Here is a 24,211-nt window from a genome sequence, read left to right as displayed (position 1 = left end):
TACATTCTGGATATTAGCCCTTTGTCAGATGAGTAGATTGCAAAAATGTTCTCCCATTCTGTAGGTTGCCTGTTCGCTCTGATAGTAGTTTCTTTTGCTGTGCAGAAGCTCTTTAGTTTAATTAGATCCCATTTGTCAATTTTGGCTTTTGTTGCCATTGCTTTTGGTGTTTTAGACATGAAGTCCTTGCCCATGCCTATGTCCTGAATGGTATTGCCTAGGTTTTCTTCTAGGGTTTTTATGGTTTCAGGTCTAACATGTAAGTCTTTAATCCATCTTGAATTAATTTTTGTATAAGGTGTAAGGAAGGGATCCAGTTTCAGCTTTCTACATATGGCTAGCCAGTTTTCCCCACATCATTTATTAAATAGGGAATCGTTTCCCCATTTCTTGTTTTTGTCAGGTTTGTCAAAGATCAGATGGTTGTAGATGTGTGGCATTATTTCTGAGGGCTCTGTTCTGTTCCATTGTTCTATATCTCTGCGTTGGTACCAGTACCATGCTGTTTTAGTTACTGTAGCCTTGTAGTATAGTTTGAAGTCAGGTAGTGTGATGCCTCCAGCTTTGTTCTTTTGGCTTAGGATCGACTTGGCAATGCGGGCTCTTTTTTGGTTCCATATGAACTTTAAAGTAGTTTTTTCCAATTCTGTGAAGAAAGTCATTGGTAGCTTGATGGGGATGGCATTGAATCTATAAATTACCTTGGGCAGTATGGTCATTTTCACAATATAGATTCTTCCTATCCATGAGCATGGAATGTTTTTCCATTTGTTTGTGTCCTCTTTTGTTTCATTGAGCAGTGGTTTGTAGTTCTTGAAGAGGTCCTTCACATCCCTTGTAAGTTGGATTCCTAGGTATTTTATTCTCTTTGTAGCAATTGTGAATGGGAGTTCACTCATGATTTGGCTCTCTGTCTGTTATTGGTGTATAAGAATCCTTGTGATTTCTGCACACTGATTTTGTATCCTGAGACTTTGCTGAAGTTGCTTATCAGCTTAAGGAGATTTTGGGCTGAGACAATGGGTTTTTCTAAATACACAATCATGTCATCTGCAAACAGGGACAATTTGACTTCCTCTTTTCCTAATTGAATACACTTTATTTCTTTCTCCTGCCTGATTGCCCTGGCCGGAACTTCCAACACTATCTTGAATGGGAGTGGTGAGAGAGGGCATCCCTGTCTTGTGCCAGGTTTCAAAGGGAATGCTTCCAGTTTTTGCCCATTCAGTATGATATTGGCTGTGGGTCTGTCATAAATAGCTCTCATGATTTTGAGATACGTCCCATCAATACCTAATTTATTGAGAGTTTTTAGCATGCAGGATTGTTGAATTTTCTCAAAGGCCTTTTCTGCATCTATTGAGATAATCATGTGGTTTTTGTCTTTGGTTCTGTTTATATGCTGGATTACTTTTATTGATTTCCGTATGTTGAACCAGCCTTGCATCCCAGGGATGAAGCCCACTTGATCATGGTGGATAAGCTTTTTGATGTGCTGCTGGATTTGGTTTGCCAGTATTTTATTGAGGATTTTTGCATCTATGTTCATCAGGGATATTGGTCTAAAATTCTCTTATGTTGTGTCTCTGCCAGGCTTTGGTATCAGGATGATGCTGGCCTCATAAAATGAGTTAGGGAGGATTCCCTCTTTTTCTATTGATTGGAATAGTTTCAGAAGGAATGGTACCAGCTCCTCCTTGTACCTCTGGTAGAATTCGACTGTGAATCCATCTGGTCCTGGAATTTTTTTGGTTGGTAGGCTATTAATTATTGCCTCAATTTCAGAGCCTGTTACTGGTCTATTTAGAGATTCAACTTCTTCTTGGTTTAGTCTTGGGAGGGTGTATGTGTCGAGGAATTTATCCATTTCTTCTAGATTTTCTAGTTTATTTGTGTAGAGGTGTTTATAGTATTCTCTGATGGTAGTTTGTATTTCTGTGGGATCGGTGGTGATATCCCCTTTATCATTTTTTGTTGTGTCTATTTGATTCTTCTCTCTTTTCTTCTTTATTAGTCTTGCTAGTGGTCTATCAATTTTTTTGATCTTTTCAAAAAACCAGTTCCTGGATTCATTGATTTTTTGAAGGGTTTTTTGTGTCTCTATCTCCTTCAGTTCTTCTCTGATCTTAGTTATTTCTTGCCTTCTGCTAGCTTTTGAATGTGTTTGCTCTTGCTTCTCTAGTTCTTCTAATTGTGATGTTAGGGTGTCAATTTTAGATCTTTCCTGCTTTCTCTTGTGGGTATTTAGTGCTATAAATTTCCCTCTACACACTGCTTTAAATGTGTCCCAGAGATTCTGGTATGTTGTGTCTTTGTTCCAATTGGTTTCAAAGAACATCTTTATTTCTGCCTTCATTTCATTATGTACCCAGTAGTCATTCAGGAGCAGGGTGTTCAGTTTCCATGTAGTTGAGTGGTTTTGAGTGAGTTTCTTAATCTTCAGTTCTAGTTTGGCTGCACTGTGGTCTGAGAGACCATTTGTTATAGTTTCTGTTCTTTTACATTTGCTGAGGAGTGCTTTACTTCCAACTATGTGGTCAATTTTGGAATAAGTGCAGTGTGGTGCTGAGAAGAATGTATATTGTGTTGATTTGGGGTGGAGAGTTCTGTAGATGTCTATTAGGTCTGCTTGGTGCAGAGCTGAGTTCAATTCCTGGATATCTTGTTAACTTTCTGTCTCATTGATCTGTCTAATGTTGACAGTGGGGTGTTAAACTCTCCCATTATTATTATGTGGGAGTCTAAGTCTCTTTCTAGGTCTCTAAGAACTTGCTTTATGAATCTGGGTGCTCCTGTATTGGGTGCATATATATTTAAGATAGTTAGCTCTTCTTGTTGAATTGATCCCTTTACCATTATGTAATGGCTTTGTCTCTTTTGATCTTTGTTGGTTTAAAGTGTGTTTTATCAGAGACTAGGATTGCAACCCCTGCCTTTTTTTATTTTCCATTTGCTTGGTAGATCTTCCTCCATCCCTTTATTTTGAGCCTATGTGTGTCTCTGAATGTGAGATGGGTCTCCTGAATACAGCACACTGATGGGTCTTGACTCTTTATCCAATGTGCCAGTGTCTTTTAATTGGAGCATTTAGCCCATTTACATTTAAGGTTAATATTGTTATGTGTGAATTTGATCCTGTCATTATGATGTTAGCTGGTTATTTTGCTCGTTAGTTGATGCAGTTTCTTCCTAGCCTCAATGGTCTTTACAATTTGGCAAGATTTTGCAGTGGCTGGTACCGGTTGTTCCTTTCCATGTTTATTGCTTCCTTCAGGAGCTCTTTTAGGGCAGGCCTGGTGGTGACAAAATCTCTCAGCATTTGCTTGTCTGTAAAGGATTTGATTTCTCCTTCACTTATGAAGCTTAGTTTGGCTGGATATGAAATTCTGGGTTGAAAATTCTTTTCTTTAAGAATGTTGAATATTGGCCCCCACTCTCTTCTGGCTTGTAGAGTTTCTGCTGAAAGATCAGCTGTTAGTCTGATGGGCTTCCCTTTGTGGGTAACCCAACCTTTCTCTCTGGCTGCCCTTAACATTTTTTCCTTCATTTCAGCTTTGGTGAATCTGACAATTATGTGTCTTGGAGTTGCTCTTCTCGAGGAGTTATCTTTGTGGCGTTCTCTGTATTTCCTGAATTTGAATGTTGGCCTGCCTTGCTAGGTTGAGGAAGTTCTTCTGGATAATATCCTGCAGAGTGTTTTCCAACTTGGTTCCATTCTCCCCATCACTTTCAGGTACACCAATCAGACATAGCTTTGGTCTTTTCACATAGTCCCGTATTTATTGGAGGCTTTGTTCATTTCTTTTTACTCTTTTTTCTCTAAACTTCTCTTCTCACTTCATTTCATTCATTTGATCTTCAATCACTGATACCCTTTCTTCCAGTTGATCAAATTGGCTACTGAAGCTTGTGCATTCGTCATGTAGTTCTCATGCCATGGTTTTCAGCTCCATCAGGTCATTTAAGGACTTCTCTACACTGGTTATTCTAGTTAGCTATTCATCTAATCTTTTTTCAAGATTTTTAGCTTATTTGTGATGGGTTTGAACTTCCTCCTTTAGCTCAGAGAAGTCTGATCATCTGAAGCCTTCTTCTCTCAACTTGTCAAAGTCATTCTCTGTCCAGCTTTGTTCCATTGCTGGTGAGGAGCTGCATTCCTTTGGAGGGGGAGAGGTGCTCTGATTTTTAGAATTTTCAGCTTTTCTGCTTTGTTTTTTCCCCATCTTTGTGGTTTTATCTACCTTTGGTCTTTGATAATGGTGATGTACAGATAAGTTTTTGGTGTGGATGTCCTTTCTGTTTCTTAGTTTTCCTTCTAACAGTCAGGACCCTCAGCTGCAGGTCTGTTGGAGTTTGCTGGAGGTCCACTCCAGATGCTGTTTGCCTAGGTATCAGCAGCGGAGGCTGCATAACAGCGAATATTGCTGAACAGCAAATGCTGCTGCCTGATCATTCCTCTGGAAGCTTCGTCTCAGGGGGGCACCCAGCCGTGTGAGGTGTCAGTCTGCCCCTACTTGGGGGTCCCTCCCAGTTAGGCTACTCAGAGGTCAGGGACCCACCTGAGGAGGCAGTCTGTCCGTTCTCAGATCTCAAACTCTCTGCTGGGAAAACCACTACTCTCTTCAAAGCTGTCAGACAGGGACATTTAAGTCTGCAGAGGTTTCTGCTGCCTTCTGTTCGGCTATGTCCTGCCCCCAGAGGTGGAGTCTACAGAGGCAGGCAGGCCTCAGTGAGCTGAGGTGGGCTCCACCCAGTTCGAGCTTCCCGGCAGTTTTGTTTACCTACTCAAGCCTCAGCAATGGTGGGCACCCCTCCCCCAGCCTCACTGCTGCCTTGCAGTTTGATCTCAGTGAGCAATGAGTGAGGTTCCATGGCCGTGGGATCCTCCAAGCCAGGCATGGGACATAATCTCCTGGTGTGCCATTTGCTAAGACCATGGGAAAAGTGCAGTATTAGGGTGGGAGTGACCTGATTTTCCAGGTGCCGTCTGTCACCCCTTCCCTTGGCTAGGAAAGGGAATTCCCTGACCCCTTGCGCTTCCCAGGTGAGGCAGTGCCTCACCCTGCTTCTGCTCACGCTCGGTGGGCTGCACCCACTGTCCTGCCCCCCACTGTCCGATGAGCCCCAGTGAAATGAACCCAGTACCTCAGTTGGAAATGCAGAAATCACCCATCTTCTGCGTCGCTCATGCTGGGAGCTGTAGACTGGAGCTGTTCCTATTCAACCATCTTGGAACCGGACCCTGTGCTCAATAAATTTTTAAAAATGAATAGGTCCATGCATCTCAAGCATTCCTGCAGTCAGCAAAGGAATAGCGGAAGTTTTTCCCAGGCTGGAAAATAAAAGATTAAAACAGCAACATGGCACCATGCTTACATTAACAACAGCAAAAAAGCTTTATAGTGAACCTCTGCATAGCATAGCTGCTTTAATCAAACAGCAAATCTGTACAGGATATGAATGCATGTGTATTCACATAAACACATTTGGATGATACATTTAGATAGTTTCTTATTCCTGTTAAGTGGGAAAATCTAATAATAAAAAATCATTAAATATTATAACCAAGTTGGGTGAAATTTGCATTTTATAATTATTCCATTTATACATTTTCTTTATAAAATAACACACTCGTTATGTGCTAGATACTTAATGTACATGATTTCATTCTATCCTCACAAAAATCCTATATCCAAAACACTATTATTACCCCTATTTTATGAAATACAAAATAATTGAGTCAGAGGAAGCAGAGTCACTTACATTAAGTAGCTCAGCTTTATAAATCTGAATTAAGACCAAGCTTAGTTGGTGCCAAAGTCATTTTTAACCAGTACCCTTTATTGTTTATTTTTTACAATGTGCTTTATAATGGAAAATTTTAGTAACTGTCTTGACCTGAAAATTGTGTTACTGTTTTCTTCCTGCAGGGTCACTGGTTATGGATTTAGGAACTAAGCCTAATCACTGACATACTGACAACTGGATAAAAACTGAGAGTATAATTTGGAGGCAAATGTGAAAGAATCAGGATTTAGTTAGGACTTTGTTTTTAGAATGTTTTGAAATGTTTTTGGGACATTTACAATTATGAATTAACCCAGAGTCCTAATAAACTTCCTTGCTCTGAAGTCTACTCTGTCTGAAATTAATATAGCTAGTTCAGCTTAGTTTTGATTAGTGTTAGCATGGTATATGCTAACCATCTTCTTACTTTTAATATATGTATCGTTATATTGAAAGTGAGCTTCTTGAAAACAACATATAGTGGAGTCTTGTTTTTTGATCCACTCTGACAGTGTCTTTTACTTGCTGTGTTTAGACCATTAACTTTTGAAGTGATGTCTGTCTACCATGTCTATTACTGTTTTCTATTTGTTTCCCTTGTACTTTGTTCCAATTATTGTCTTCCACCTTTTTTCTGCCATTTTTGGTTTTAACTGAGCATTTTATGTTATTCCATTTTCTCTCCTAGTGTTATATTTATTTATTTACACTATTTATTTATTTCAGTTATATTTCTTTATTCACTGTTTTTAGTGGTTGCCCTGGAGTTTGCAATGTACTACTAATCCAATTCCACTTTCAGAAAACACTATAGCCCTTTGTGGGTACTGCAAGTGCCTTACGCTATTCCTAATTCCTCCCTTCCATCCCTTATATCACTGCTGTCATTCATTGCACTTATACATAAGCTATAATAATTGGATACATGGTGGCTATTATTATAACTGTTATTTGTTAGATCAATTAAGAATAAGAAAAATAATTTTAACTTATCTTCGCTTATTCCATTTCTAATGATTTTCCATTTTTTGTGCAGATCTGAATTTCTGACCCATATCAACTGCATTCTCTAGGAAGAACTTAACAATTTTTGCAAGTCAGGTGTACTGACAACAAACTCCCTCAATTTTTGTCTGAAAAAGTCCTTTATTTCACCTTTACTTTTGAAGGATAATTTCTCAGGATACAGAATTTTAGATTGTTGGATTTTATTTAAGTATTTCACCCCACTCTTTTCATGCTTGCATGGTTTCTGAGGGGAAGTCAAACATAATTCTTTATTCCTTTATAACTGCTTTTTTTTTGCTTTGGATCTTTCTATATTTTTTATGTGTGATTTTTCTGTATTTTGACTATGATATGCCTAGGTATCCATTTTGAGGGGTTTATTGTTGTTGTTGTTTTGGCATTTATCCAGCTTCCTATATCTGTGGGGTTTTGTTTGATATTAATTTAGGGAAATTCTGAGCCATTATTGCTTCAGCTATTTCTTCTGTTCCTTTCTGTCTTTATTCTCTTCTGGTGCTCCCATTATGTGTATGTTATACCTTTTGTAGTTGCCCCACAGTTCTTAGAGATTATGTTCCTTTTTATTTTTTATTGTTTTGATCTTTTTGCTTTTTTAGTTTTGGAAGTTTCTATTGACATACCCTCCAGCTCCAAGATTCTTTCCTGAGCTGCGTCCAGTCTATTAATGAGCCCATTGTCAAAGGCATTCTTCATTTCTGTTAGTGTTGTCTCCAGCCCTTCTGATTCTTTACATTTTCATCTCTCTGCTTACCTCACCCATCTGTTCTTTTATGTTGTCTACTTTTTCAATTACAGCCTTTCTAGTGTTTCAAATTCCCAGTCTGATAATTCCAACATCCCTGCTATATCTGAGTCTGGTACGTGACTGCTTTGTCTTTTCAAATTGTGTTTTTTGCCTTTTAGTATACCTTGTAATTTTTTGTTGAAAGCTAGACATACTGTACTGGGCTAAAGGAACTCTGATAAGTAAACTTTTGGTGACATGGTGGTAAGGTATGAGGGGAGGGGAAGCATTCTATGGTTCCATAATTAGGTTTCAGTCTTTTAGTGAGCTGGTGCCCCTGGCCTGTGAACTTCACAAGTGCTTCTCAGTTTTTTCTCCCTCTAGGTGGGAAAGGACAGCTACAGTAGGCTGGCGTTGGGTATTCCCTTCCCCCAAGTCAGTTAGGCTCTGATTAAACCCTAGTAAGTTAGGCTGTGATAAAACAATTTCTCTTGAGGACAGGCCTTGTTAAAAGGAACAGAATGCTCTGGCATATTTCAAAATGGTTAATTGTCTCTTCCCCGCTACCAGAGGCACAGGGGATTTTTCTCCCATCGTCACTCTATAAACCTGGTTTATAGAACGTGTGAAAGTGTGTCCGTGAAGGTGGGGGGTCCATGGAGTTTTTAGCTCAGACTTATTCATACTGAACTTCCAGCAATTTGCCTATTACAGTTTAGGTTTTCCTATCCAGGCACTGTTTCCCACGGAGGTTTCTGCTTATGGGTTTCTGCTCTGGTAAATAGTAATTCTCTCTATCCATCTGTCTGTTTCTCCAATTTGGGGGACAGCAATTTTCCTGTCACCTTGCTTTTCGCATAGAAGAGTTACTGATTTTCAGTTTGTGAGGACAGAGTGACTTCCAAGCTCCTCACCTGCTAGACCAGAAACTGAATAAGCTTCTACAAGTCTATAAAATACAACATGAAAAATTCCAGCTGAGGTAAACACAACACTTTTTTACGTGATTTAAGAAGCCCTTTTCTACCAGGAGAAACTACTGGGCAAATGACTAGAAGACACTGAAGGCTTTTCTGAGGACTTCACGGGCAGGGAAGCCCTCTACCCGAGAGCTCCAAGACAGCTCACCTTGACACCTGGTCAAGATAAGGGGTCACCAAGACAGCTGTATTTTTAAAAACAAAAAAACTTTATTTCTGAAGTTTAATCAGAAATCTTAACTAATGTGAAGGTGCCAAGAGCGCAGCCTTCAAATTGTTAGATGTTAGAGTTCATTTATCAACACTTAATAAATATAACAAATGTATACCTGGCAATTACGTGACCTCTTCCTCCCTTGAAAAAAAGGATATTTAACTGTGGAAAGGAACCTGACAGAGTGGCCTCTTTTAAAAAGCCATCCTGCTTAGCACAAATCAGAAGACGTTCATAGTCACTGTACTGACTGCTACCTGTAAACTAGAAATACAATCCTAATCCCCCCACTGACCGAGTGGACCCCCTCTTAACCAAGTGAACCCCAGAGAAACCTTAAAAACTGAGTTGTCAGCCATGACGGTAAGGGATGTTGGACATGCCTCATTATACCCCCCACCATTTTGGAATTTAGTCACAACTGACCAGGATTAATGTTAAAATAGAGATCATAGACTGCCACAACAGACTGTTTGTGGCAATAAGATGCCAAATTACAAACAAGACCTAAGCCATGCAAGGCAAGGGTTAAGTCACATCTGCAGGCCATCAGTCTAGCTAAACAGGTCATTTTGACCCAGTATGTTGTGGCTGACTCTGGCAAAGCATCCTTATTGTAAAAATTTCTTTCCGCTGACCTCAAGTTTTAGACAGAGCCTTACTCCTTTAACCAATTACAAATTAAAGAATCTGGAAACCTGCCTATAACCTATAAGCCCCCACTTAAAGATATCTCACTTTTTAAGGCCAAACCAATGCAGACCTTCCATGTATTGATTTATGTCTTTACCTGTAACTCCTGCCTCCCTAAAATGTGTAAAACCAAACTGTGGGACCACGTACTCAAGACTTCCTGGGTTTTTATTTTTCCCAGGCCACAGTCACTCATATTGACTCAAAATAAGCCTCTTTAAAATATTTTGCAAGTTTGATTTGTCCGTTAACATCTCTCTACCCTTCTTCATATCTGAAGCCTTGTGAAATGAACTGCATGACAAAATTCTTCAATCCTCAGTAATACTGACCCTCCTCAGGGAAATGGAGACATAACATTCTTATCATATTTTCCAACAAGATGATGCTCAGGTTGGTTGAAGTCTATCGATATTCTTGTCCATCCCCAGGATTAAGGTAGGCTCTATGTAAGTTATTTTTTTTTAAAGGAGAGGAACTGACCCATGTCCAGTTTGAATAACATAATAATACAGATGTAAATTTAATGAACATTCTGAAGGCAAACGAAATTGTTTCAGGTAGAGATATGGACATTTTAAGAAAACCTGAAATTATCTCTTCTACCTGTGCTTTCTCTAAATTAAGGACATGTTTAAGAATATGTAAGGAAGCCCAGTAATCCCAGCTACTGGGGAGGCTGAGACAAGAGAATCGCTTGCACCCAGGAGGCGGAGGTTGCAGTGAGCCGAGATTGCACCACTGCACTCCAGCCTGGGTGACAGAGCGGGACTCCATCTCAAAAAAATAATAATAATAATATGTAAAGAAGCATGAAATAATTATGCATATTACATTAAGTTTTAAAATATGGTTTATTCAGATAATATAAATCAGGTTTCCTTTTACAAATGAATCAAAATCAGTTTTACTTTTATTACAAAAATAATCATGAAACAGCTGTGTTTTCACATTACCTCTTAATTCTGGGAAGCAAGAAAAAAGTTATGAAGATTAAAAATAATCTTCTAAAAATACAAAGGAAATTATATTTTCTGAACAGATATAGTTGTTTGGACTCCAAGTCTCCCATTCTTTCTTCCTCACTATATTCCTTCTTTAACTATAGCACAGCACAGGGTCTCACTGATTCTCTGTGACCCATTTATATTTTTCATCACAAATTATCCTTGCAAGTGATCCCAAGATGCAACTGAATAAAACCTTAATGTATCACTTATACCTTGTAAAGTGGTGCCCAGAAAATAAAACAAAAAACACTAAAAATTTACAGCACATGGTTTTTATGAAAATAAATGCCTATTTCCTATTAATTTGATACAACATTTTGGAAAGAAATATAGCCTATGCCTAATTTAAATGCTAACTCCACATTTGTCATAAGAATTCACCATAGGAAAGAAGATTGGCTTGCTAAAAAAAATTCTGAAAAAATACATATGCCATATAAATGGTCTCAAGAGCTTGGTAATTAAAATTTTTTCCTACATGCTGTTCCACCTATTAACTGTGCTACTCCCCCCAACTCTAAAGCATTAGGAAGATTTTTATTAACTGGCATATCAGCTAGTTATTGCTGTGTAATAAACCATCTAAAATGTAGGGATGTAAGTCAACAAATCTGTCTTTATCTCACAATTTGGTGGTTTGACAATTTCAAATGATCCCATGTTGGTTGCTCTTGCCGTAACTCCTAATATCACTAATGCATGACATCAGCTGCCATGTTGGCTGTGTGGCAGCTATCTAAGAAGGACTAAGCTGGGATGGCACATTTCTCTTCTACACAGTCTCTTATCATGAATAAGCTTGCTCAAGCTTATTCGTGTAAGCTGAGGAAGATTCTAAGAAAGAGCAGAAGCATGCGAGCTTGAGGCCTAGGCTGAGAATTGGCACAACATCACATCTGCTACATTTTATGGGCAAAATCAAGTCACAATGCCTTCCCAAATTCCAGAGGTAGAGAAACAGATGGCACCTCTTGATGGAAGAAAATACATCATATTTTACGAGATGTGAATATAGACAGGGGTAGAGAATTATGACCATTTTGGAAATCTACAGTACTGCATTTGGTTTTTGTGCCTCTTTTATAATTAATTTCAAAAATGAAGCCTCTGAGCATTTATTTCATATAGTGACTTATAATATTTGAAGTATAACTTCAAGAAAGTCTTCCTTGAGCATCCCAGCCAAAAGTGACATATTTTAACTCAATATTAATCAATCATTCAATCATGCTATTCTGCTGTATTTTCTTTACTTGGGAGCTCCTATTAGACCATGAGTTTTGAAGGCTAGGGATCAGTTTTATCTTTTCTTCTAATGTGTGATCATTGCTTTCTCAATGCCTGCGCTCAATAGGTATTCAATCAATATTGTTTACTGACTAAGTGACTGAATGAACAAAGGAATGAATCCTCTATTAAATTAAAAACTCATTGAGAAAGGGGCTGTCTCAACTAATTTGTATCTCCCATAGCCTCTAGGCATTTATTTCCATATGGTAGGTCCTCTATAAGTAATTGTTAAGCACATTTTTATAGGAAGAGCAAAAGTTGTAGTTGTAAACAGAATTGCAACTCTGCAACTCAATTCAATACCATGATCTTATCTATAAAGTCAGATGAAATTAATTCCAAGTAAAAGCAGCCCAAGGAAATAATAACCATTGAATCTGATCTCATCTAAAATGAAGTAGTTTCCCATTACTTGGAAAAATTTTATAATAAAATAATATTTTTATTTCATATTATAAAAATATTGAATCAGAAATATATCCACTTGATTTTTTCATCTCCCATTTCTCAAACTTAGTATATGGCAATGACATTTGAAAATACACAGTACATCTGGTTGTAAAATTCAGAAATGACTCATAGATTAAGACATACACTGAAATATTTTATGTTCATACATATTAAACAAATTTTGGATGCTCCCACAATTACTAAGGTCACTTTCTATAAAGTCAGATGAAATTATTTCCAAGTAAAAGCAGCCCAAGGAAATAATAACCATTGAATCTGATCTCATCTAAAATGAAGTAGTTTCCCATTATCAATTATTAAAGACAAATGAGAATTGACTATCAAACATAATAAGGTGTCAGTACAATTAGGTTATGATAGTAAAAAGATATTTTTGTACTCATTGCACTTTGATTTTTCAAATGCTTCTATTAGACTCCACCTTCTGTGGAAGGAGTGTCAAAGAAATTGCAAACATAACTTTTGATCACAAATTTTTATATTCCTTTCATACACAAAATATACTCCACTTACTTAGGCAACCGGGTGTGGATGAGTCTCCTCAGATGCTATTTATCAAATACAGCTCCCTTGGTTTACCTTGTTAACTTCTCTCAGTTTTTATGCATTCACTTTGTCTAATTCGTAAATGATATATGAATAAAAATTCTTAAAAGAAGGGTGGCAAATATTGCACACATACGTGTTCAATGACACAAAAAGCTGAGGAACAAATGGCCAAGAGCAGGCAACAGAGTTAACTCTCATGCCAACATGCAACAGGAAAACAGACTCCATATGAGCAAGTGATTTCAACTTAACAGAGCAAAAGCATTTAACCGGTATATCTGCAATATTTAAAATGTCAAATTCTATGAGTGTGAAATCTAACATTAGAAAAGACTTCCGATAGGTCTTTTCATTCATTCTTACAAATCTTAATTTTTTTCAAACATGGAAACATTTCAATGGCTCCAGTGAATGTTAGATTTCATAACTTTTCCATCTAGACAAGTTATTCTCTGTGTTACTGAAATAGGTCTTCTTAGTTCAGAATTTTATGTGCATAGTTAATCACATTTTGGTAGATTCTTTCTATGGACACTCAAATGTGAACCACAGGATGGAATGTAGCTACACACAAATCAGGGACAAGCAAGGCATAAGTTCTGGAGAAGCAATGGCCAAATATCCAATAAAATACATGGTGTAGGCAAAGTCAATGGATAATACCTAGTTCAACCACTAGAAATTTATGGTTAACAGCAAAACCAGGTAAAAATCAGTCATTAGAGCATAGGCTTTGAAGTCAAACAGACTTTTGGTTGAAATACTGTCTCCACTATTGACTGTACTAACTTGGGAAAATCACTTTATTAATTTATTCAACTTCCTTATCTGCAAAATGGGGATAATAATCCTAATAATGTGTTGTAGAGATTAAAGGAGATTATGCATATAAGGTTACTTTGGTGTCTCCTACATAGTTATGATAAATCAATAAATGATTACTGAGTGTTTTACTCTGTACTAGGCACTGTGTTGCCAGGGAGATACAGTGGCTCTCGACCTTATAAAACTTACATATAGTTCAATATAGTTTATAGTTATCATCAGGCCATGAGGTAAAAGTTAGGTTAAGGAGTAGAAGTGGAGATGAAGTGAAAGAAATGCTAGACACTAGTTTGTGAACTAGAGCAAAGGATAGAACATAGCTAACGTAAACAAAGCAACAAGAACAAACTTTCAAGGGGAAATGTAAACCAATCCAAACATATTGCCAGAATAGACCTGCTTTAAAAGAGCCAGGTGCATGTATTCTGGGTTGTGCTCCAATCCATTTAATATCACCAACTGGAGTTATTGAGTATCAATTGTGGAAAAAAGCATTATTTGGAGCCATATATATTAAAAAACAAAAAGTAGTGCAGAACAGTTCTGGCTCTCAATAGTAAATACAGCAGTAAGGAGAATAAGACAGTTAAAGGTCCTCTGTTCCAATTATCTAATGCTGTGTAGCCAACCACCTCAAACTTGTAGTTGCACAAAACAACATATTTTATCATAAATATGAAATCTGAGCAGGGTTAGCAGGAACAGCTTGTTTCTACTCACCATGGGCTGGGGCTGCACATCTAGTGCTTGGGCTGAGAAGACCCAAAACGCTGGGGCTGGGAAAGCTGGGACTTCTCAAGCATCTTACTGTCAATCTTTGTGTGGTCCCTCCACATGGTCTCTCCAGCATGGAGGCTTTAGGGTAGCTAGACTTCTTAAATGGCAGCTCAGGATACCCACGGCATGTGTCCTGAAAGACAGTGAGCATGCCAGCTGGAAATTCTATCACCTTTTACGACATAGCCTTGGAAACCATGCAACATCACTTCTGTCTCATTCTGTTTTGTTAGAAGCAAGTCATTAAGGCTCACCCATAATAAGGGAAGGGCAATTAGACTCCACCTTCTGTGGAAGGAGTGCCAAAGAAATTGTAAACATAACCTTTGGTCACAAATTTTTATATTCCTTTCACAAGCAAAATATACTCCACTTACTTAGGCAACCAGGTGTGGATGAGTCTCCTCAGATGCTATTTATCAAATACAGCTCATAAAATATAGCTATCCTCAATCCAAAGACCTGGTGAATGAAAGAGACAAGTTATATGTCCTTCACACACTGACATACAATGGTGGAAGAGGCATAGGATAATTACTACAGACTTTCCCATTGAAAAGGGAGGAAAAGAAAGGCAATAGTCCATAAAGGCAAAAGAAAGATACAATAGTCCATAAAAATTCTGTAATCCAGCCATGCACACACTATTGGCTCCTTGACTCAGGTCAGCTGTCTGATAATGCAGCATAGCATCTCCATGGGTCTTAGCTCTATGCTCTGAGCTCATAGTTCCTCCTCAAGTCATCCTTTTCCATTAAAAAATGCTGATGTTTGCAGCTAAGTAGTTTTCTCAGCCTGCTTCCTACCAGTATTACTTCAGAAATCCAAAGCTCTCTTTTTGTGATGGTCTGTCTCTGTCCCCTTTAGTCCAAGCTGGCAGTGTTTCTCCAAGTATACTTCTCTTAAAGCTTTGTGGGTCTCCTATGAATCATACTGGGGTTCACCCCATCTTCCAAAGTTACACCCACAAAATTCATCAAGATAAGCATTTCTCTACCTTTAGTTTCCTGTAAGGTTGCTATAGGAAAGCATGTTGACATTCTTAAAAGCCCTATTGTTTAGAAGAGACAATCTGCAATGCATGTGCCTCAAGATCCTTAGGGATAGTTACCTGTATGAAATACTACCTCAAATCTTTGCAAAGGGTTGTACAATAACACCCTTGAAATAATCTTTATTACTTATTTTCCTGACAGTGCCCTAAATTTGGCCTTCGTCCAAAAGCCTTTTCTTAATTTTAGCATCATTTGCCATCTGAAGAAACTACAATGAGAAAGTTGTATTTTTGATCCCAGTAAGTTCTGGCTTCTTTATATATTAAAGTTCTTTCTGTTGCTTAACACTCTCATCTGCCATTTTATAACAGGCAGCTAGAAACCAGGTGTCATCATCAACATTCTCCTTGGAAATCTACATCATTTTCTATTCCTATTTTCTATTTCTATTTTCTACGTTACTTCATATGATAGTGTTGCTTAACTTTCTGTCACTACCTAATAAATATCCCCATTCTTCCCAACTTTCAATAACATTATCTTTAATTTCCTTTCAGCCCTCACTATGAGCCACCTCTAGGGGCATATAGTTACACTAAGAATCTCTTCAAGGCCCTTAGACCTTCACTAACAATGTTGTTAAGGTTCTTCCAGCTTCAGACCACCACCTAGTCCTAAAGCCACATGTTTTAGGGTTTTGATATGGTAGCACATCACTCCCAGGTACCAAAATGTGTAACAACTATCTACTATGGGTTAAACAACTTCTCAAAATTTAGTGGCTTAAAATAACTTTCATGTTTCTCAAGAAGCGCACTCTAGGCAAAAGATTGCTGCAATAAATTAGAGAAAACCTGAATAAATAAAGAGATACAGCATATTCATTGATTATAAAACTAAACATTATTAAGATATCAGTTCTTCTCCAAATTGAGATAGCGAGTCAACACAATCCTTACCAAAATCTAACCAGGAATTTTTTAGTAGAAATTGACAAGCTGTAGCCAAAATCCCTATGGAAATGCAAGCAACCAAGTCTAGCCAAAGCAATTTTGAAAAAGAACAGGAAGTAACACTACAATCAAGATAGTATGATATTGGCATAAGAAGAGATATATAGATCAATGAAACAGAATAGAGTTCAAACTCACATGTATGGTCAATTGATTTTTGATAAAAGTGCAAAGTTAATTAAGAAAGAGTAGTCTTTTCAACAAATAGTGCTGGAGCAACTGGATATCTATGTGCAAAAACAAACATAAAAAATCCTAATAACCCTATATTATATACATTACAAAAATTTTCTGAAAATGAATCACAGACCCAAATATAAGAACTAAAAATAAAAAACTTCAGGAAGAAAAAGCAGGAGAAAATTTTTGTGACTACAATCAATATTTTTTAAAAGACAAATTTGATTTTATCAAAATTTAAAACTTTTGCCCTTCAAAAGACACCATTAAGAAAATTAAGATGATTCCTGGGCAAGATGGCTGAATAGGAACAGCTCCGGACTGCAACTCCCAGTGAGATCAATGCAGAAGGTGGGTGATTTCTGCATTTCCATCTGAGGTACCCAGCTCATCCTACTGGGACTGGTTAGACAGTGCATGCAGCCCATGGAGGGCGAGCAGAAGCAGGGTGGGGCGTCGCCTCACCCAGGAAGCGCAAAGGGTCTGGGAACTCCCTCCCCTAGTCAAGGGAAGCTGTGAGGGACTGTGCAGTGAGGAACTGTGCATTCCAGCCCAGATACAACACTTCTCCCACAGTCTTCACAACCCGCAAACCAGGAGATTCCCTCAGGTGCCTACACCACCAGGGCCCTGGGTTTCAAGCACAAAACTGGGTGGCACCCTATTTGGGCAGACACCAAACTAGCTGCAGGAGTTTTTTTTTCATACCCCAGTAGCGCCTGGAATGCCAGCAAGACAGAACTGTTCATTCCCCTGGAAAGGGGGCTGAAGCCAGGGAGCTAAGTAGCCTAGTTCAGCAGATCCCACCCCCACAGAGCCCTTCAAGATAAGATCCGCTGGCTTGAAATTCTTGCTGTCAGCACAGCAGTCTGAAGTCAACCTGGGATGCTCCAGCTTGGTGGTGGCAGAGGCGTCCTCCATTACTAGGACTGAGTAGGTAATTTTCCCCTCACAGTGTAAACAAAGCCACAGGAAAGTTTGAACTGGGCAGAGCCCACTGCAGCTCAGCAAAGCTTCTGTAGCCAGACTGCCTCTCTAAATTCCTCCTCTCTGGGCAGGGCATCTCTGAAAGAAAGGCAGCAGCCTGCACATTGTGCACATGTACCCTAAAACTTAAAGTATGATAATAATAACAAAACAAACAAACAAAATAAAATAAAATAAAATAAAAAAATTAAAAAAGACAAAGAATTTGACAGGAAAAAAACAAACGTTGAAGATATCAAAGAAGATCCAACAAATTGATAATAGAAGTGCCTAAAGATAAAAACTAAAGCAAAGGAACAGAATATCGTAGTAAAATGACTGGACTCTAATTTTTACAAAAGGAAAACAATGCTTTGGCATCTAGGCAAAAGAGCAAATGACTTATAAGGAAAAGAAAACCTGATTATTATCAAACATTTCAACATTTTATTCCATAAGCATGCAGAGTACATTGGCAACTTTTTTATAAATCTAAAATTATCCTAAAATAAAAATGTGTTTAAATTTTTCTTTAATTTGTTTTGAATTTAGAACATCAAATGAAATCACAAACTGTTTTATCTTTAAATAAGTGTGTGTGTGTGTGTGTGTGTGTGTGCATTTTTCTGCCTCTGCCTACTGTAAAGACATAAATAATGACCCAATGGCCAATCTAGCCCCCAAAATTGTGGACTTGAAGTATCACCTCCAATTTAAAAAAATGAAGACTTCTTGGAGAAATGGTCTGTTTTTGTTCTGGGGCAGAAAATACACACAATAAGCCTTACAAGGCCTTGTCATGCCAGACACCTTGTCATGCCAGACAGCAAGGAAGCTATCAAAGCCTATGAGGTTCATGTCAAAGGACTGAGGAACCATCTTTGGCCAAATATGGGCATTTTGAGTTTCAATAAGGATAAACATTACAATGGACTGAAACCAATCAAATATGGTTCATAATTAATTATATTAAGAAAAAATAATACTCATCTTCAGAGGATGACAGAGAGCCTACTGGTTATTTTGAAAACTGAGTACATAAAAGACTAAAGAATTTGTCTTGCCTTTCTTATATAAACTATACTGCTAGGTATCTTAATAGTAGATGGAGGAGGGGGTATTTTTGTACAAAATTATTCCAGTAAATAAGTGAAAATGACATAAAAGTATATCACCATCTTACAACCCTCCAGCGAATTACTGGATCTAGACATTGAACACCAATGGCTGCTAATATAAGAGAAAAAAGTGAAAAACAGACATTACGAGCCTCCTAATGAAAAAACACACACCACTAACAATCCAGTTAAAGGGATCAAATATAGGTTTGATCAAACCTCTGGATACAGCTGCCAATTTGTAGGAAATATACAGGATGGAGAAACATTGAATTTCACCACAAGAATGCAATCTGCAAAACCATGACTATGAAAATCTCCATATGTCAAATGGAACAGGTTTTTCAAAAAAACTGTCAGAAGAAGAAAGAGATGGAGGGGAATCTGCAGTTTAAAAGAGATCTAAAAGACATATCAGATTTCTTTAAGGAGCAAAATTAAACTTGAGTGTCTAGGGATGCACAATTGGAGTGGTAAAACTGTAAAGATATGCAAGGAAGTGGTTACCATAAAAGTCAAGATCATGGTTACTTTTGGAGGGATGGAGGAGGACATCATTGGAACAGGACCCATGAAAGGGCTTCTCAGGTAGCTGGCAGAATTCTGTTTTTTCACTTGGGTGGAGGTTAGAATGATGTTTGCCTTATGACAATCCTCTAAGCTATCATTTCTTTTGTGTTACATTTTCTACATTTGTGTTTTATAATAAAACAACTGAAATTGAACAAAAAAAAAAAAAGAAAGGCAGCAGAAACAGTCAGGGGCATACAGATAAAACTCCCATCTCCCTGAGACACAGCACCTGGGGGAAGGGGCGGCTATAGGCACAACTTCAGCGGAGTTAAATGTTCCTGCCTGATGGCTCTGAAGACAGCAACAAATCCCCCAGCACAGCGTTTGAGCTCTGCTAAGGGACAGACTGCCTCCTCAAGTGGGTCCCTGACCCCTATGCCTCCTGACTGGGAGACACCTCCCAGCAGGGGTTGACAGACACCACATACAGGAGAGCTCCAGCTGGCATCTGGCGGGTGCCCCTCTGGGACAAAGCTTCCAGAGGAAGGAACAGGCAGAAATCTTTGCTGTTCTGGAGCCTCCACTGGTAATACTTAGGCAAACAGGGCCTGGAGTGGACCTCCAGCAAACTCCAGCAGACCTGCAGCAGAGGGGCCTGTTAGAAGGAACTAACAAACAGAAAGGAATAGCATTAACATCAACAAAAAGGATGTCCACACAGAAACCCCATCCGAAGGTCACCAACATCAAAGACCAAAGGTAGATAAATCCACAAAGATGAGGAAAAACCAGCACAAAAAGGCTGAAAATTCCAAAACCAGAACACCTCTTCTCCCCCAAAGAATCACAACTCCTCCCCAGCAAGGGAACAAAACTGGACAGAGAATGAGTTTGATGAATTGACAGAAGTAGGCTTCAGAAGGTGGGTAATAACAAACTCCTCCGAGCTAAAGACGCGTGTTCTAACCCAATGCAAGGAAGCTAAGAACCTTGAAAAAAGGTTAGAGGAATTGCTAACTAGAATAACCAGTTTACAGAAAAACATAAATGACCTGATGGAGCTGAAAAACACAGCACAAGAACTTCGTGAAGCATACACAAGTATCAATAGCCAAATCAATCAAGCAGAAAAAAAGTCTATCAGAGATTCAAGATCAACTTAATGAAATAAAGCATGAAGACAAGATTAGAGAAAAAAGAATGAAGAGAAATGAACAAAGCCTCCAAGAAATATGGGACTATGTGAAAAGACCAAACCTACATTTGATTAGTGTACCTGAAGGTGACGGGGAGAATGGAACCAAGTTGGAAAACACTTTTCAGGATATTATCCAGGAGAACTCCCCCAACCTAGCAAGACAGGCCAACACCAGGAAATACAGAGAATACCACAAAGATACTCCTCAAGAAGAGCAACCCCAAGACACGTAGTCGTCAGATTCACCAAAGTTGAAATAAAGGAAAAAATGTTAAGGGTAGCCAGAGAGAAAGGTCAGGTTACTCACAAAGGGAAGCCCATCAGACTAACAGCAGATCTCTCTGCAGAAACCCTACAAGCCAGAAGAAAGTTGGGGGCCAATATTCAACATTTTAAAGAAAAGAATTTTCAACCCAGAATTTCATATCCAGCCAAACTAAGCTTCACAAGAGAAGGAGAAATAAAATCCTTTAGAGACAAGCAAATGCTGAAAAATTTTTGTCACCACCAGGCCTGCCTTACAAGAGGTCCTGAAGAAAGCACTAAATATGGAAAGGAGAAACCGGTAGCAGCCACTGCAAAAATGTACTAAATTGTAAAGACCATTTATGCTGAAGAAACTGCGCCAACTAACGGGCAAAATAACCAGCTGACATCATAATGACAGGATCAAATTCACACATAACAATATTAACCTTAAATGTAAATGGGCTAAATGCCCCAATTAAAAGACACAGACTGGCAAATTGGATAAAAATTCAAGACCCATAGGTGTGCTGTATTCAGGAGACTGATCCCACCTGCAAAGACACACATAGGCTCAAAATAAAAGGATGGAGGAATATTTACCAAGCAAATAGAAAGCAAAAAAAGCAGGGGCTGCAATCCTAGTCTCTGATAAAACAGACTTTAAACAAACAAAGATCAAAAAAGAGAAAGAAGGACATTACATAATGGTAAAGGGATCAATGCAACAAGAAGAGCTAACTATCCTAAATATATATGCACCCAATACAAGAGCACCCAGATTCATAAAGCAAGTTCTTAGAGATCTACAAAGAGACTTATACTCCCACATAATAATAGTGGGAGACTTTAGCACCCCACTGTCAATATTAGACAGATCAACAAGACAGAAAATTAACAAGGATATTAAAGACTTGAACTCAGCTCTGGAACAAGTGGACCTAATAGACATCTACAGAACTCTCCACCCCAAATCAACAGAATATACATTCTTCTCAGCACCACATCACACTTATTCTAAAATTGACCATATAATTGGAAGTAAAACACTCCTCAGCAAATGCAAAAGAATGGAAATCATAACAAACAGTCACTCAGACCACAGTGCAATCAAATTAGAATTCAAGGTTAAGAAACTCACTTAAAACCACACAACTACATGGAAACTGAACAACCTGCTCCTGAATGCCTACTGGGTAAATAACAAAATGAAGATAGAAATAAATAAGTACATTGAAACCAATGAGAACAAAGACACAATATATCAGAATCTCTGGGACACAGCTAAAGCAGTGGTTACAGGGAAATTTATAGTACTAAATGCCCACAGGAGAAGACGGGAAAGATCTAAAATTGACACCTTAACATCCCAATTAAAAGAACTAGAGAAGCAAGAGCTAACAAATTCAAAAGCTAGCAGAAGACAAGAAATAACTAAGATCAGAGCAGAACTAAAGGAGATAGAGACATGAAAAACCCTTCAAAAACTCAAGGAATCTGGGAGCTGGTTTTTTGAAAAGATTAACAAAATAGATAGACCACTAGCCAGACTAACAAAGAAGAAGAGAGAAGAATCAAATAGACACAACAAAAAATGATAAAGGGGAGATCACCACTGATCCCACAGAAATACAAACTACCACCAGAGAATACTATAAACACCTCTATGCAGATATAACTAGAAAATCTAGAAGAAATGGATGAATTCCTGGACACATACACCCTCCCAAGACCAAATCAGGAAGAAGTTGAATCCTTGAATACACCAATAACAAGTTCTGAAATTGAGGCAGTAATTAATAGCCTACCAACCAAAAAAAAAAAAAAAAAAAAGCCCAGGACCAGATGGATTCAGAGCCGAATTCTACCAGAGGTACACAGAGGAGCTGGTACCATTCCTTCTGAAACTACTCCAAACAATAGAAAAAGAGGGACTCTTCACTAACTCATTTTATGAGGCCAGCATCATCCTGATACCAAAACCTGGCAGAGACACAATAAAAAAACAAAATTTCAGGCCAATATGCCTGATGAACATCAATGCAAAAATTATCCATTAAATACCGGCAAACCAAATCCAGCAGCACATCAAAAAGCTTATCCATCATGATCAAGTTGGCTTCATCCCTGAGATGCAAGGCTGGTTTAACATAGGCAAATCATTAAACATAATCCATCACACATAAACATGATCAATGTCAAAAACCACATGATTATCTCAATATATGCAAAAAAAGGCCTTCAATAAAATTCAACACCCCTTCATGCTAAAAACTCTCAATAAACTAGATATTGATGGAATGAATCTCAAAATAATAAGAGCTATTTATGACAAACCCACAGCCAATATCATACTGAATGGGCAAAAGCTGGAAGCATTCCCTTTAAAAACCAGCACAAGACAACGATGCCCTCTCTCACCACTCCTATTCAACATAGAATTGGAAGTTCTGGCTAGGGTAATCAGGCAAGAGAAAGAAATAAATAGGAAGAGAGAAAGTCAAATTGTCTCTGTTTGCTGATGACATGATTGTATATTTAGAAAACCCCATTGTCTCAGCCCAAAATCTCCTTAAGCTGATAAGCAACTTCAGGAAAGTCTCAGGATACAAAATCAATGTGCAAAAATTACAAGCATTCCTGTACACCAATAATAGACAAACAGAGAGTCAAATCATGAGTGAACTCTCATTCACAATTGCTACAAAGATAATAAAATACCTAGGAATACAAATTACATGGGATGTGAAGGATCTCTTCAAGGAGAACTACAAACCACTGCTCTAGGAAATAAGAGAGGACACAAACAAATGGAAGAACATTCCATGCTCGTGGATAGGAAGAATCAATATTGTGAAAATGGCCATACTGCCCAAAGTAATTTATAGATTCAATGATATCCCCATAACACAATTAGACTTTCTTCACAGAATTAGACTTTCTTCACAGAATTAGACTTTCTTCACAGAATTAGAAAAAGCTAAATTTCATATGGAACCAAAAAAGAGCCCGTATAGCCAAGACAACCCTAAGCAAAAAGGACAAAACTATACTACAAGGCTACAGTAACCAAAACAACATGGTACTGGTAGCAAAACAGATATATAGACCAATGGAACAGAATGGAGGCCTCAGAAATAATGCCACACATCTACAACCATTTGATCTTTGACAAACCTGACAAAAACAAGCAATGGGGAAAGGACTCCCTATTGAATAAATGCTGTTGTGAAAACTGGCTAGCCATATGCAGAAAACTGAAACTGGACCCCTTCCTTACACCTTATATAAAATTTAACTCAAGATGGATTAAGGACTTAAACATAAGACTTAAAACCATAAAAACCCTAGAAGAAAACCTAGGCAATACCATTCAGGACATAGGCATGGGCAAAGACCTCATGACTAAAACACCAAAAGCAGTGACAACAAAAGCCAAAATTGACAAATGGGATCTAATTAAACTAAAGAGCTTCTGCACAGCAAGAGTGAACAGGCAACCTACAGAATGGGAGAAAATTTTTGCAATCTATCCATCTGACAAAGGGCTAATATCCAGAATCTGCAAGGAACTTACACAAATTTACAAGAAGAAAAACAAACAACCCCATCAAAAAGTGGGCAAAGGATATG

At 38.2% G+C, this 24,211-nt stretch overlaps 1 protein-coding gene across 1 annotated transcript in view; it reads right to left on the bottom strand.

Annotated features, from left to right (window-relative positions):
• Positions 1-24,211, bottom strand: part of REDIC1 (regulator of DNA class I crossover intermediates 1) — a 282,118-nt gene that overhangs the window by 157,109 nt on the left and 100,798 nt on the right. The window contains exons 13-14 of the transcript NR_135051.2: positions 14,293-14,482; positions 5,146-5,332 (exon numbers count right to left, since the gene is read on the bottom strand). The gene's annotated coding sequence lies outside the window, so the exon portion shown is untranslated. The remainder of the gene's footprint in view (positions 1-5,145; positions 5,333-14,292; positions 14,483-24,211) is intronic.

This window comes from Homo sapiens, chromosome 12 (genome assembly GCF_000001405.40).
Source record: "Homo sapiens chromosome 12, GRCh38.p14 Primary Assembly".
In the NCBI taxonomy this organism is placed as follows: Eukaryota; Metazoa; Chordata; class Mammalia; order Primates; family Hominidae; genus Homo; species Homo sapiens.
Note: the sequence above shows the minus strand (reverse complement) of the source record. Positions and strands in the feature narration are given on the sequence as shown.